The sequence below is a fragment of the Homo sapiens genome, chromosome 16, assembly GCF_000001405.40.
Source record: "Homo sapiens chromosome 16, GRCh38.p14 Primary Assembly".
NCBI lineage: Eukaryota > Metazoa > Chordata > Mammalia > Primates > Hominidae > Homo > Homo sapiens.
In genome coordinates, this window is record NC_000016.10 from 90,089,953 (window position 1) to 90,105,438 (window position 15,486).

Consider the following 15,486-nt stretch of genomic DNA (forward strand, 5'->3'; position numbering starts at 1 on the left):
GTGGTGATTCATGCCTGTAATCCCAGCTACTTGGGAGGCTGAGGCAGGAGAATCACTTGAACCTGGGAGGCGGAGGTTTCAGTAAGGCAAGATGGTGCACTGCACTCCAGCCTGGGCAGTAGAACAAGACTCTGTCTCAAAATAATAATAATAAATAAAAATAAAAATCTCATTGTGTTTCAAACAAAATTTCTTTTGCATATCAACTGTGTCAGCTTGCATATTAACTATAATCATTTTGTTTACTTTATATCCAATCTTGAGAAATCTCTGAGGACTAATTTCACTCTTTTCTGCCATTTTGGTAAACATACCAAATGCCATCAAATAAAATGCACAAAATTCCTGAGAAATACATTTTCTCCTTGAGGAGTAGACTTGCTGTGTTAGAGGAACTCATGGTTATCAAGCTTCCAGTTTAATAAACATGACTAGAATTCTCTATCTTAATATGAGTAGCTAGGTACTCACAAGGCATCTAGAAGGTTAATACCTATAGTCTGAAAATAGCCACATTTTTTTACTGGCCACAAATTACAATTGCAGAATATTTATGGCCATACAAGACATCTTCCACCAAGCCTGAAAAATGTATAAATATCCTAGGAGTGCAGCATTTTTTGTTAAAGATAATATTAATGAGCTAGCTTAGGTCAACGGGTTAATGGTCATCGTTAAAACGAATAGACCCGACTTTAATGAGTACATCTGCACCTTCCAAGTTTAATTATAACTCTTTCTCTTTATAGTTAGAGTAGAGACACTAACAAAAGACAATGCATTCCTGCTCTTATTTTCTGAGGATGTCCAACTCTGTAATGGAGTCGTTTCTAATAAACTTGCTTCTTTCACTTTGCTCTCTGACTCACCTCAAATTTTTTCCTGCACAAGATCTAAGAATCCTACTTTGTGGTCTGTATCAGGAACCTCTTTTCCAGCAACATCTTTCAGCAACACCATGAAGGGACACCAAGACAAGACCCCCACTCCAAGGAAAACAATCCACATAGAATCAATCAGCTGGCAAGTGGGCTGTCTTTTAGGGTCATGAAGCCATTCAGGTTGGCAAGAATGATTACCCACTGTTACTTAAGTGAGAGGCCCTAGGGTATAATATTAGGGTGAGAGACTCAGCCCAAAGTTAGAGACCTGGGGGTGTCATACTCAGATTAGAGGCCAAGCCCACAGGGTTAGAGGCCCTGGGGAATATTGAGAAGAATGGATTTGGCTAAACAAGATGTTTGCCACTTTCTCTTTTTGGACTGTCCACCTTGTGCTCTGTGTCCCTCACCTGAGTGCTCTGCATATTGTTGCCTTTCTGCTCACCGCCTCCGTTTTGCAGTAGCCTGGAGGCTGCCCCAGGAAAGAGGCCCTAAACAGTTTAGCTTTTACTTTCCTCAGCAATCCTCTGACTTTTAGGCTTGATGTCTTAGAGCTATTGCTGCTACCACTTTTCTAGTTGGCAAAGCTAATAAACTAACATTAGAACAGCACCTACAGGTTTTTGACCCCACACCAAGGGAAGGTGGTCCTAGAAGCTAAAGGGCACCAGTGGATAATAGGAGAATATTTATGAAAGTGTGAGGCCTTATTGCTAGACCGACCCTCCAGACATAACCCTTAAAGCCTGGCAAACCATAAACCCACTACTTACCTGTCAGAGTCCACAGGTGCTCCCAGCCTTTCTGGCATACAGGTTGTATTAGTCTGTTCTCACGCTGCTAATAAAGACATATCTGAGGCTGGGTAATTTATAAAAAAAGAGGTTTAATTGACTCACAGTTGCACATGGTCGGAGAGGCCTCACACTCATGGCAGAAGGCAGGTGAGGAACAAAGTCACATCTCTTACATGGCAGCAGGCAAAAGAGCTTGTGTAGGGAAACTCCCCTTTATAAAACCATCAGCTGTAATCCCAGCACTTTGGGAGTCCAAGGCAGTGGATGACCTGAGGTGAGGAGATCGAGGCCAGCCTGGCCAACATGGTGAAACTCTGTCTATACTAAAAGTACAAAAATTAGACAGGCATGGTGGTGGGCGCCTGTAATCCCAGCTACTCGGGAGGCTGAGACAGGAGAATCGCTTGAACCCGGGAATCAGAGGTTGCAGTGAGTCAAGATCATGATAATGCACTCCAGCCTGAGCAACAGAGCAAGACTCTGTCTCAAAAATAAATAAATAAATAAATAAACCATCAGATCTCATGAGGCTTATTCACTGTCATGAGAACAGCATGGGAAAGACCCATCCCCTGATTCGATTACCTCCCACTGGGCCCCTCCCACGATATATAGGAATTATGGGAGCTATAATTCAAGATAAGACTTGACTGGGGACACAGCCAAAGCATGTCACAGGTTATGAAACAAATTTATTCTAGCAGGCCAGACGTAGGAGAGATGAGCCCCTTGACCATCCCAAGGAAGAGTGGTTAACAGATGCAAGTTGTTTTATGCATCAGGAAAACAGGGCTAGATATGCTATTAGTAGTCAGCACAAGAGAATCAAGGCACAAGCCTTGCTGGCCTCGACCTCAGCTCAAAAAGCTGAGTTAATTGAACTTACTAGGCCCCTGCAGTTGGAAAGGATTTAAAAGTTAACATTTACACTGATTCCAAGTATGATTTTTTAGTGCTTCATGCTTATGCTGCAATTTGGAATGGGTGGGGACTCCTGACCCCAAAGGGCTTTTCCATACAACATCATTCAGATTTTGAGCTTGTTAGAATGCTGCTTTGCTGCCAAAAAGTGACTATAATTAATTGCAGAGGACATCAAAAGAGAGACTGACCATGTAAAAGGAAATGCCCTTGTAGATGCCACAGCCAAGGCCCCTGCACTGAAAGGGCCAATGAAGCTTGTGGGCGTTCTGGTCAGCATACATAGAACTGGGCCGGAACACTCTGAAGAAGAACAGAAATGGGCCAGGGATTGCATTTCAGTCCAGGGCCCCTCGGGCTGAATGATGGTAATAAATTACTAATGCCAAGTACCAGTCACAGGAGTATAACTCAGCACTTTCATGATTCTTTTCACTCTAGAAGGGATTCTTTGTTTCTGTTAATGTCTCATTTGTTCATAGGGGTAAATCTTTTCAAGACACTAAAACAGGTGACTCAGCCCTGTGAGCTCTGTGCCTGACATGACCCAAACGGCCAGCAATTTTCTCCTTCTCCAGTTAAACCTGTCCAAAATGGAGGAACCTATCTACATGAGAACTGGCAACTCTAATTTACCCCGAAGCCTTTCTGCAGGAGATTCAAATATTTGCTAATGCTTACTGATACCTTCACTGGTTAGATCGAGGCATTCCCCACCCCATCTGAAAAATGTTTACCAGAAGAAATAACTCCTCAGTTTGGGTAATCCAAAAGCCTGTAAAGTGACAATGGCCCAGCTTTCACAGCAGGTGTAACCCAACACCTATCCTCAGCTTTAAGAATCCAATATTACCTTCACTCTGCTGGAGACCGCAGTCCTCTGGAAAGGTGAAAGGGCTAATCCTAAAGAAGACTCTAGCTAAATCAGAGGCCTGACTATCTCTAATACCCATAGCTTACTGCGGGTTTGAACTGCTCCAAAGTAAAACGTATAATTAAGTCCTGTTGAGTTAACATGTGGAAGGCCTTTCCTAACGACAGATCTCCTAATAGATGAAAAGACTCATCAATTACAAAAATATGTCATCAATCTGGGACAGGTGCAAAGGCACTCTGAATATGGAAACAAGCGTCTTCCCCTCCCACATGGGAGGAAAATTCAGTTTCAGCTCAGCTAGGGATTTAGTCTTACTAAAGACGTGGGAGGAAGTTCTCCAGCTGAGCAGCTTTCCCCAACGTGGAAGGGACCACGCAAGGACACCTGAGTTCTCCAACAGACGTTCAACGCCAGGGGATTCACAGGTGGGTGCACCTGTGTGGAAGTAAAGCTGTTGCTTATTCTGGGAGCCCAATCGGAGGCTGAGGGAGGTGGGCGCGGGGCTATTTAAGCGTTGGCGGAGGCCGGGCTGGGTCGCTGCGCGTCTGCTCCTCCTTCTCGCGCTTCTGCTGCCGCCCTAATCCTGCCTTGGCCATGAGGGAAATCGTGCTCACGCAGACCGGGCAGTGCGGGAACCAGATCGGGGCCAAGGTTGGCAGCCGGGGCTCTGAGGGCCCAGCCCGGGCCTGCCGGGTGGCCGGGGAAGATGTTGGCAGCGGCGGGGGCGGTGCCCCTGCATTGCGGCCCCTGGGCTCCCTGCCGGGGACGGTGGAACCGGGTGGCTGGCGAGGCGGCCGGGGTGGACCCCAGGGACAGGGCGGCCTAGGGATGGGGGTGCGGGTGGGGGTGGGAGAGCGGCTGGGGCGCCTCCGTGACTCAGCCCCGGCCTGTCTGGCCCCTCCCGTCTCCGCAGTTCTGGGAGGTGATCTCTGATGAACATGCCATCGACTCCGCTGGCACCTACCACGGGGACAGCCACCTGCCGCTGGAGCGCGTCAACGTGCACCACCGCGAGGCCAGCGGTGCGACCCCCGTCCTTCCCCCACCGCCCTCCTGGGAACGCGGCCCTCCCCTCGCTCATGCCCTCCCGCCCCACGCAGGTGGCAGGTACGTGCCTCGCGCTGTGCTCGTGGATCTGGAGCCGGGCACCATGGACTCCGTGCGCTCGGGGCCCTTCGGGCAGGTCTTCAGGCCAGACAACTTCATTTCCCGTGAGCTGCGGGCGAGGACTGGGGTGCGGCTCCTTAGCCAGGGCAGCTCAAAATCCAGGAACGCTCCAAGGTCATCCTGTGGGAACTGTGGCGCCAGGGCCCCTGAACACCCTCCTGTCCTCCGAGTCGAGTCGCTCAATCTGCCTCTCTTAAACGGGCTTCGGGAGGAAGGCCCGGGTGTCTTCTCAAGGTGAGGAGCTACTGATGTCCCTGCCGGGAGCTGAGCTGGGGCCGTGGCTATTGCGTTTCCTGAGAATGGGCAGGAGCCACCGGCAGCGAGGTCTGTGAGCCCGTCTCAGGTTTGACTCCTGTCTTAATTTCTAACAGGGGAAGCTGCTGTCCTGTTACTCTGCGGGAGCGGGTTTCATTTGCTCCACCTGCAGGGCGAGTGGTGCTTTCACCTCACACGTGACACTGTTGCTTTCTGCATTATGGTGGTGACCACTGATGACCGTATACCTGGCCGTCGAGTGACCGGCTGTACTGTCTTACAGGTCAGTGTGGGGCCGGAAACAACTGGGCCAAGGGACGCTACACCGAAGGCGCGGAGCTGATGGAGTCAGTGATGGACGTTGTCAGAAAGGAGGCTGAGAGCTGTGACTGCCTGCAGGGTTTCCAGCTGACCCACTCCCTGGGTGGGGGGACTGGGTCTGGGATGGGTACCCTTCTCATTAGTAAGATCCGGGAGGAGTACCCAGACAGGATTATAAACACATTGAGCATCCTGCTCTTGCCCAAGGTGTCAGACACGGTGGTGGAGCCCTACAACGCCACCCTCTCAGTCCACCAGCTCATAGAAAACGCAGATGAGACCTTCTGCATAGATAACGAAGCGCTATATGACATATGTTCCAAGACCCTAAAACTGCCCACACCCATCTATGGTGACCTGAACCACCTGGTGTCTGCTACCATGAGTTGGGGTCACCACGTACCTGCGCTTCCCGGGCCAGCTGAATGCTGACCTGAGGAAGCTGGCCGTGAACATGGTCCCGTTTCCCCGGCTGCATTTCTTCATGCCCGGCTTTGCCCCACTGACCAGCCGGGGCAGCCAGCAGTACCGGGCCTTGACTGTGGCTGAGCTCACCCAGCAGATGTTTGATGCTAAGAACATGATGGCTGCCTGTGACCCCCGTCATGGCCGCTACCTAACGGTGGCTGCCATTTTCAGGGGTCGCATGCCCATGAGGGAGGTGGATGAACAGATGTTCAACATTCAAGATAAGAACAGCAGCTACTTTGCTGACTGGCTCCCCAACAACGTAAAAACAGCCGTCTGTGACATCCCACTCCGGGGGCTAAAAATGTCAGCCACCTTCATTGGGAATAATACGGCCATCCAGGAACTCTTCACATGTGTCTCAGAGCAGTTTACAGCAATGTTCAGGCGCAAGGCCTTCCTCCACTGGTACACAGGCGAGGGCATGGATGAGATGGAATTCACCGAGGCCGAGAGCAACATGAATGACCTGGTGTCTGAATATCAGCAATATCAGGATGCCACGGCCGAGGAGGAGGATGAGGAGTATGCCGAGGAGGAGGTGGCCTAGAACTCTCCTTTTCTAGGTAAAGTGGGGAAGCAGTGTGGATTCTTTACTGTGTTCTGACAGCCATGTGTCACTGTGCGCTTGTTCATTTGTGTCTTCACATCTCCTGCTGCATTTTAAAGCATTTGTATAGTATGCGGTTTTGCCTAATAAAGTGTTCTCACAGCATCTGGTTTCACCTCCATCTTCTTTCCATGGGCCCTCCGGCAACTGCTGCCAGATGCGCATAGTTGTCCTGCAAGGCGGAAGCTGTCTGGGCTTATCACATGCCCAGGAACAAGCATTCCAGTGGCTCCAGGAGGGCTCGGCATGGGCTGTGGACATGGCAGGCAGGCTTCACGTGAACTTGGGGATGCCCTGGGCCTTGGGCAGCGACGTGGGGGAAAACCTGTTCCTGAAGAAAAGCCTTGGCTTACCCCATGTACCAAACTTCTAGGGGACCAGCTGGCCATGTTTCTGGAACTTTGTCCACCAGGGTCGCTGACCCCTTTTAATGTCCCCAAAGTCCCATCTTGGAGTAGGAATGTGGTCAGACAGCTGGCTCTGAACCAGCAATGAAGGGTGGGCAAGTGGGACCCCAGCCACTCCATCACCACGATGGCCTGGGTGTGATTGTGTGGCCTCATTCTCTTAATGAGGTGGGCATGGGGTATCTGGCAGGGACTAGGCAGGAATTGAGCACAGTGTTTGCTAACATGCACTGAACCCTATGTAGAAGGGGATTAGGTCCTGGGGGCTGCAGATGTGGTTGCTGGGCCTGTGACATGCACTGAACCCTATGTAGAACCCTATGCAGCCCCTTGAAACTTCCCAGGATGGCTGGTTTGGGGGTTTGTCACCTTATTTTTCTCCCTCTGGTTTTAGCCACTGTAGGCCAGTTTGTTCACAGATTTTTACCAACTTTGGCTCATTTCATTACCTTATCAGAGGTGGGAATTCTGAGGTCCCTAAGCCAGAGGCTTTCGGGGATGTGGCTCCCTCTGCCGCCCTGGCAGGGAGGACGCAGGCGTCCCAGGTGGAGCCTCTGACCTAGAGCCTTTGGCTCTAGAGCCTGGAGCCTTACCGCAAGGCTGCCTCTGTGGGTTTGGCGTCGGGAAACAACCCAGCCTGGAGCCCAGGCTGCTGGTTATCTGGAGACAGCCTCCCCGTAAGATTTCTCTGAGACAAGAAACAATTATGCAAATTATCCTAATTCTGTTTTAAAGAATAGAGAGATTGATTGCAGAGACAAACCATTTAGGCAGGCAATGTAGAAGGTGTTTCCATGGCTAATCTGCCTTCAAAGGAGAGGGATTTTGTTTGTAAACTTCAGACCCAGAAAATTGATTGTTCTGTCAACTTTAGATAATTATCTGTCCTCCCTGAGGCCCTAAGCTTAGCAGAAATGTTCTTCCTCTGAATCCGTACTCAGCTTTGGATCTCTGTTGGGTTCCCTGTAGAGTGCTAAATCAGATTCCCCCAAAGCAGTGGATCAGGAGCCTTCCTCCAGCCACAGTGCCCATCCTGCATGCAGAAGAATCGACAGAGGGACGGGAGGGCTGCAGAGCTGGCACTGTGTCCATGGAGGGGCTGGTGGGGACTCACTGTTCAGGGGACAGGGGAGGCAGAGTCCACACTCAACTGCTGCGTGGAGATGGGCATGAAGGGCAGGCAGGTCTGGCCTTGGCCTTGCGGTTTGTTTCCATTAAAGACCTTCAAGACCAGAAGGGACGAATAGGGCCGGACTATGCAGGGAGAGAAGAGGTTCTAGGGAACTGAGTTCCGAAGTCTTCATCTTCTCACTGTGCAGTGGGGTTCGCCTATAAAGCAGGCTGCTTGTCCTCGGGAGAGCTCATTGTGGAGAAACATCACTGGACAGAGCCCCTCCTTATCTGCATCAGACTCCTCTGGTCTCCCCGGTTGCATTTTTCTCTGCCCCTAAGGGCACCTGTCCCTGGAGAGGCTCTCAGGACAGTATCCTGGACACCCCCTGCCTGGACACCCCTTGCCTGGCACCCCTCCTCTCCACAATGTCGTCAGAGAGCTCCACCTGCCCTTCTAGCCCCCTGGTCCAGCACTGCTGGTCATGAGGTTTGGGCCCTGTGACCTGCCCAGATCCAAGCTGTGGGGAAAGTTTGCTGAGACCAGTTTGGGGAACAGAGGGGCCTTGTTGTACCATTTGTTCTGGGCACAGGGGACCTCCTGCATCATCTATCTCCTCCATGAGATGCTAGTTTCAGGGATTCCTTGGGGACACTGGAGAGCAGGGCTGGCTCAGGCAGGGGCCTGACCATAGTCCAGACAGTGCAGACCCTACCTGAGGTGCCACACGGGCCCTCATCAGTCTTCTCTTCACACAGTGGAGTCACTCCTGTGCCTCCCCTGTCTGCACTCCATTGAGCCGGGAAAGGCCTGCAGTAGCCAATGCCCACATTTGAGTTTCAAATGTGAATATACCCAGGGATTGCAATTTACCAAAAGATGAAGGAAAAGGCCTCTCCCAGTACTTGGTCAACATTATTCTGTGGTATTTTTCAGATGAAATTAGCATTTAAGCCAGTATACTTTTAGTAAAGCAGATTATGCTCCATAATGTGGGTGGGTCTCATCCAATCAGTTGAAGGCCTTAAAGGAAGAAATACCTCCCAGGGGAAGAGGGAATTCTGCCCCTGGACTCAAGCCACTCTTCCTTGGATTCTAGCCACTGTAATCACACGAGACAATTCTGGACATCTCCTCCTCTCTTTTCTGTTTCTCTGGAAAACCCTGACTAATGCAATTCTTGTTAAGCTGCTTTTAAGAAGTGTGAAGAAAATATTAAAAAGTTGTAACTAAGAATTTTGAGTGGACGATCTAATTATTTCACACTGGCTGAGATCTCCCTGATGTTGACATTGCAATGACACTGTGCACTTCTTGGGGTAAGAAAAAGTGCAGCCTCAGTATCCCTCCCACTAAATAGGAAGGCAAATTGCCATTTCCCGAAAAGTCCAGAATAGTAAGTAGGTTGACGAGTAACTCTTGAAGTTACATAAGACAAATCAGTTGCAACAGAGGATCATAAACCCCTCGTGTACGGAAGGAAAACAAGTTTGTCAATGTGCAAACTGTAAGTCTAAGTTCCTACTTCTGTAAAAAGTAGAGTTTCCTCTTCAAAGACTTTCCTTCCCATCTCATTAGAAATAAATAGTAACTTCTCTTAGAAGCAAAATTTATTCAAAGACCTGTGCTAACATTGTTAAATATCTGCTAGCCCTAATAAAGAAATCAATGTACTTTATGATCTTAGCTCCCACAATTTAGCCTAAATATTTGCCCTGGCATGCTTATACTAGTCCAAGCAAGCTTTAGGTCATTGCCTGTTCCTCTTCTTTATTCGAAGGTGTTTTTACTTTTTTCAGCATTCCACAAGTTACTTCCTCCTTCCTTCGTTCTCCTCTGCCTTTTCCTCTTTAAAAAAGTTCTAAGTTGCTAGCCAATCGGGACAAATACAGAATGTGAGGTCCCGTTCCAGCCTCTGGAAACTGGACACAGCAGTAGGGTGGATGCATCAGGTTATAAATGACCCTGTCTCCTTTGCTCAGTATACTGTTGTGGCAAAACTGCTGGCGAGTGTACACTTTCTGCAGAAATTAAAAAAAAATAAAAATGGCCTTGCTGAGGAAATTAAATTTACATTCAAGTGCTAGTTCTTTACTGCACTGGGAACAAGCATTTCAAACAATTTCAACCCTGCTGGACTGCATCAAGTGAGGGCCGGGATGGAAAAGCGGCCGTGCCGAGGTGCCCCGGAAGCAGCCTCCGGAGTGTGCGTCAGAGTTTCTGGCCATTTCAGCTAAGACTTTTCTTCTGACAGACTAGAAGTGAAAAAAAGAATTATTTACTTTGCTGGGAAATGTGACAGAAGGTTAAAATTCTACTAGTTCACAAAATATTTGAAGCTAACTTTGTTTTTATAAATAAAATTGTATTTACAATTTAAGTTTTAGTTCTCATCCTTGCTGTTATAAAAGTTATTCTAAGTTATGTCAGTCTTTGAGGGTAAATGTAGAGTATTTAAAATAGCTTATATTTGGAAAACTGAACAGTGTTTGTTGTCATGATTTTACTTTGTTCTTGACCACATTGGTCCCAGAGAAAGTCAAGGTCTTCAGCCACGGATTCAAGATTCTTGTGGCAGCTGCTGATTTCTTTTCCAACAATGCTTGGGCCTCATCAGCGTCATGTTTGTGCACTACCTCAGCCCCAACCACAGACATGGGCAGGAGGAACAGAGCTCTACCGTGTAGCGTCACTGCCAGTAAGAGTCTGGCTCTCCCATGAAGCATTACTCTTCCTCTGCATGTATCTTAGAATTTCAAAAGCCATTTGGCCTCCATTTCTTTAGATTGTGGATAAGATCCATAAACTTGTACTGGGGTCACTGTTCCTCCAGCCTCTTTAGCACGTATCTGCAGTCTCATTTCCAGGCTGTTTCCTCTATGGGCCACTGCCTGCAGAATTCCCAGATGAATCCACTGCCCATTCCCTGTAGCCACATCTCCAAATCCACAGCCGTTCTCAGCAGCTGCCTGCACACTCACATCCCAGAGGTCAAGTTGCCACAGCTGGTGTGTGTTTCCAGCCACTAGGCAACCCCAGGTCTTCATCTGAGCACCCAGGGCCAGAAGTCTCACCCTGTCCCCCGTACCATCCCTTCCCAGCCAGCCACAGTTTCCTTCCTTCTGTTGCCCACACAGTGCTCTCAGCCCCAGATGCCCTTCCTGACACTTCCTCCCAAGGAAACCCAAGTCCTCCGTCAGGGTCCACCCAAATGTCCACACCCTCTGGTAGCCTGCCCAGCCCCAGAGGCTCCCCTGAGCTCCCTTCCCCCATTAGAGCCTACAGAGGCAGTGCTGCCCAGCAGACATCTCGGCTGGGAGTCAAACAGAGCAAGGCTATTTTGGTCCCTCTCTCCACTCTATGTGACCCTGAAATGTGCCCTGGCCTTAGGAAACATTCAGCTACATCAGAGAACGTGAGTATGCATGTGGTTTGTATAACACAGGCAAGACATGGTTTTTAGATACGTTCAGAATAGATAGTTACAGAGAACAGGTATGTTACATGTGGGAAGGAAGAGACACAAGGGCCAAGAGATACTTAATATGCATGAGGCTCCTGGGCACTAAATGTTCAATTCACAATGTGCCTTTATACAAGAGACACCTAAACATGCAGAACCATGGGGCCTTTGTTCACCACCATTCCTGGTGCCCATTCTGGTCCCATGCGTCCTCTGCCCAAGAAACACGTAGAACCCATGGCAGTGCGACAGCTGCTTCTTGGCAACGCCACCATGATCAGGCACACTTGTCCCATGTCTGTCCCGTTGAGCCGGTGTGTGTCATAAGCCCTTAAGCTGTGAGCACTCTTGCCCAGACCTCGGCTCTGGTCCTCGTGGTCACACCTGAGTGGGTGAGGTTGACTAGCAGAGAAAGAAGAGAACCGATGAATGTTGACAGCACAGGAATCAGGTCATACGGCCCTCCCATCTCCTTCCCTCAGCTTCTTGCTGTGTTTTACGAATGGATTTTATAAACCTGTGATTTGAGCATCCTCAGTTGCTTCTCGAGCCTTTCCGCTCCATGAACTCTGGGACAGCTTGCCTGGTACTGCAACTGGAGGACATCATTGCATCCAGAGAGCTTCCCACATGACAGTCTGTGAGCAAGGGACTTCGCCTCCCTGGATGGTGGTTTTCTTTTATGTAAAAGATGTGATCGTAGTCTCTATTTCTCAAGGGTGCTGTGAGAAACACACAGAATAAGTCCACGTGAAAGTGTGTGGCAGGTAGCGGATGCTCAGTAACGTGAAGCCTGCCCTTCCCATAGCCTTTCTCTTCCTCCACTGGGTCTAGACTTCACATTGTCCCATGGTTCCAGATCCTTGGTTCATCCCGAGTCTTATCATCATCCCAGAAGCTTGGAGGGAGCTCCTGGGGAAATCCAGCTTCACGGTCCCACACTGATCACTTCCCCTGGGCATGGCCTGGTAAATGCAGCTCAGATCCGCTCCCCAGGCAAGTCAAGGAAGTTGCTGCCCAGAAACCAAGTGAGGACATTTACAAGAACTGGCGGCGGCAGCAGCAGCAGCAGCAGCAGCAGCAGCAGCAGCAGCAGCAGCAGCAACTGGATTTGCTTTTTCACCAGAGGATCCAGATTTCCCTGTGGCCTCGCAAACAAAAAAGAAGGAAGACGGAGCAGCACAGTCATTCCTTTGTGAAAAAGGCATTCAGGTAACTGAGTGACTCAGCAAGCCTGGGTCTTGGGGAAATTACGAATACCTGGTTGAAGGACAGTCCTCAGGCAGAGCCCCTGAGACCTGTTGAACTCTAGAGTGTGGGAGCAGAGGAGATTCAGGGCCTGCCCAGGGGCAGAGTGCCCCCAGGACTCGCCCTGGCTCAGTTAAGGACTCCCCTCAGGATCTGCAGAGGTGCAAGGCAGGGTGCAGCTCTGCCTGGACTGAGCTGGAAATGCAGCCGTGTGGCTGAAGTGGCCACTTCCTGCTTTCTGTAAAGCAGCCACAGGGACCTGTGAACAGGTAAGACCATTGCTCTTGATTACTGAAGAACTAGAACCCAGGCTCCCTTGACCTTCTCTCCAAAAACCCAGATGACACGAGGACCCTCTCCCAGCTGAAGGGGCAGATTCATGCTTTAGAGTGTGGGGAGTCAGCGTGGGGGCACGTGAGTGTTTAGCTTAGGTGTGGGCCTCACAAAAGAGTCAAAACAAGTCAGCCAGGACTCCAGCAGCCTTCATTGTGTGAGAGATGCCAGCACTGTGGCCACAGCCTGACAGCTGCGCAGGCCACATAATGTGTGGGGCCGAGTGGAAAACGTGGGTTTTTTGTTGTTGTTGTTGTTCAAAATCATGAGCTTCCAGGGGCGGCAGCAGAACTTTAAACTACTCTGGGGCCCTTCTGAGCACAGGACTTGGTATGACTGCACAGGGATACCCAGCAGGCCAAGTGCAGCGACAGAGCGGTCTGCCCAGAGGCCAGCAGGTCCCCAGTCAGTGTCTGGCACCAGCTCCCTTCATGACCTGGGCTGGCTCAGTTCCACGGGACTCCCAAGGCTGGAGGCTTCCCTGGAACATCATCCTCAGGGATTTCCCAACAGGAGCAGCCTCTGGCTTCAGATCTGTCCTTGTTTGACTCATAAATTATCACTCAGACTGAGAAAATTAACACTCAGTGATTCCTGAAAGGGTGCCCAGTGCAATAGATAATTTTCAAAGTGAGTTCATCGGGGGATTTAATAGCCAGGCGATGTCCATTAAAACAGTGACAAACATGGGGAGAAAAGGAAAAGTTCCAACTGGAAACTCATGCTGGCTTGACAGTTGTTCTCAGGGAGCAGAACAGAAGTGGGCATTTTCATTCTGGTTACACCATCAGCGATACCTCCACGGAGCCTCTCAGCTGGTTCCTCCTGGGTCTGGGCCACAGGCCTCCCAGTATTGCTGGTCTCAGAAGACATCTGTGGGCAGGTTCTGTAGAGGGAATCTGAGGCTGTGTGGGATGAGCTGCAGGACCCCATGTGGGGAAAGGCAGGAGGCAGCACCAGCTCCTTCACTAGGACCTGAGGGTACTGTGGCTCATCAGGGGCCATCGAGGACATGGAGACCCTGCACAGTGTTTGAGGAGTCCTGCTACATCAGTTTATTCTGGTTTAGGTGGTTGAGGGGAGACTGAGTGAAGTCTTGGGGATTCAGGGCTACACTGCCAACCTCTGGGACAGCAGCCCCAGTGTCCCCCGACCCAGGCCTTGCTCCTCCCTGCTGATGAATGCCCACTCTGCTCCCAGATGCACACCTGTCCTGAAGACACCCGGTTCTCATGCTCTTCTCTGCAGCATCTGAATTGGGCATTCCTGGGTAAAGCAGTTTAAGTTACTTTCACTTTTATCCACCTTGTTTCCGTTATTTCAACCATGCATGTACCTTGTGTATGTAGGATAAAGGTGTCTAAGAATAAAGGTCCATGATTTAAAGTTTTTTCCTCTTCTTTCCCTGTCCTGACCACCTGATCATAAACTTGTAGAAATAAAGTGGATCTCATGTTGTGTATCTTTCGATGCATCTAGAGAGATGGTTATATTCATATAAATAAACGGGCACATCCAGCACACTATTTCTAGTTGTCGTCTGCTAATAAGTTTACATCTGGTAAATGCCAGTGTTTCATCAAATGGCTGCATTGCACATGAGTCAATCTGTGTGACAAAGAATATGGCAGGTTTTGTACAGCCTTTGTAAAGACATTCTTCAATGCTGCCTTTTAAAATAGAAATGTTAAATCCTGTAACTAATCAACCTATGCCTTGTTAGAGGGCTGACATTTTCAATAATTCCTTTACAAAGGGTAGTGAGATGCATCAGATCCCCCAGTGGCCCCCAAGTAGGGACAGTGACAGTCAGCAGTTCTTTACGGACACCTGCTCGTTGGCAGGTTCTCCGCCAGCCCTGGCTGCGGGCGGCCCTCATCTAACAAGATGCTTCGGTCCATGGGTGGAGGACAAAGGCCTACAGGCTTGGGGAGCGAGTTCTTTCGTCTCCTACATGACCTTCATCTGCTCGCGTTTCCCACGAAGTGCATCTGGGTTGGAAGGAGATGGTGGTTTCCCACGGAAGTCTGGTCCCTAAGTGACGCCTCTGCTGCCTACATCAGAATCTCCCAGGCTTGCTCCACAGTGGTCCCGTCACGTGGTGCAGACTCAGGCGCGGTCTTGTGTGTGCAGAGGCAGGCTTGGTCTTGTGTGCTCTTGATCATGCACCTAGTCACATCTGTTCTACAGTGTTGCATTCTTCTAATTTCCATGCACATCTTTGTATAGGCGTGTTCCCATTGTTCCCATGCCAATAAGTGGTGTGCAAGGTTCCAGAGTGCGCCAGTATTTCTTTAGTCAGTGTCATGCTGTTGGATATTCAGGTTTTTTTAACCTAGTGTAAATAACATTCACATTTCTAAAAACCAGAAGAGTGTTTGTGATTAAGATATCATCTTAGTGGATATTAAATTGCTGCATCTGATTTCATTTCTCTTTCCCAAATAAAGAGTCAGTTGTGTGGGCTAGTCTCATTCTGAAACTGCACACTCCCATCCCAGAGGTAGAAAGCGAGATCTCCTGCCTGCATTTCATGGAGCATGTGATTATGGAGGTGTCCAATCCCAGCAAACAGACCCCACATTCTTTTCCTTCAGTGACTCAGACGCAATATGTGGACAGTCCCA

At 49.5% G+C, this 15,486-nt stretch overlaps 2 long non-coding RNA genes and 1 pseudogene across 2 annotated transcripts in view, besides 3 other annotated features; 2 read left to right on the forward strand and 1 right to left on the reverse strand.

Moving 5' to 3' along the window:
* Window positions 3,537-4,310: an enhancer, noted in NCBI's record as "H3K27ac-H3K4me1 hESC enhancer chr16:90159897-90160670 (GRCh37/hg19 assembly coordinates)". NCBI's record gives its function as "activates a minimal SCP1, AML or CMV promoter by ChIP-STARR-seq in primed H9 embryonic stem cells {active_cell/tissue: H9 hESC(primed)}" and the evidence as "EXISTENCE:reporter gene assay evidence [ECO:0000049][PMID:30033119]".
* On the forward strand, window positions 4,013-6,406 carry TUBB8P7 (tubulin beta 8 class VIII pseudogene 7; annotated as a pseudogene).
* Window positions 4,311-5,083: an enhancer, noted in NCBI's record as "H3K27ac-H3K4me1 hESC enhancer chr16:90160671-90161443 (GRCh37/hg19 assembly coordinates)". NCBI's record gives its function as "activates a minimal SCP1, AML or CMV promoter by ChIP-STARR-seq in naive H9 embryonic stem cells {active_cell/tissue: H9 hESC(naive)}" and the evidence as "EXISTENCE:reporter gene assay evidence [ECO:0000049][PMID:30033119]".
* Window positions 7,868-8,018: a silencer, noted in NCBI's record as "fragment chr16:90164228-90164378 (GRCh37/hg19 assembly coordinates)". NCBI's record gives its function as "represses an EF-1alpha promoter that drives an FKBP-Casp9 reporter gene in an ReSE screen in HepG2 liver carcinoma cells {active_cell/tissue: HepG2}" and the evidence as "EXISTENCE:reporter gene assay evidence [ECO:0000049][PMID:32094911]".
* Window positions 11,227-12,211, reverse strand: LOC105376786 (uncharacterized). Its single transcript, XR_933914.3, has 2 exons — window positions 11,796-12,211; window positions 11,227-11,680 (listed from the first exon to the last, which is right to left on the reverse strand). It is a non-coding gene; the product is annotated as an uncharacterized LOC105376786 (long non-coding RNA).
* Window positions 12,212-12,311: 100 nt separating this feature from the next.
* Window positions 12,312-15,486, forward strand: part of FAM157C (family with sequence similarity 157 member C) — a 75,343-nt gene continuing 72,168 nt past the window's right edge. Inside the window, exon 1 of the long non-coding RNA NR_126161.1 lies at window positions 12,312-12,490. This is a non-coding gene — a long non-coding RNA (family with sequence similarity 157 member C). The remainder of the gene's footprint in view (window positions 12,491-15,486) is intronic.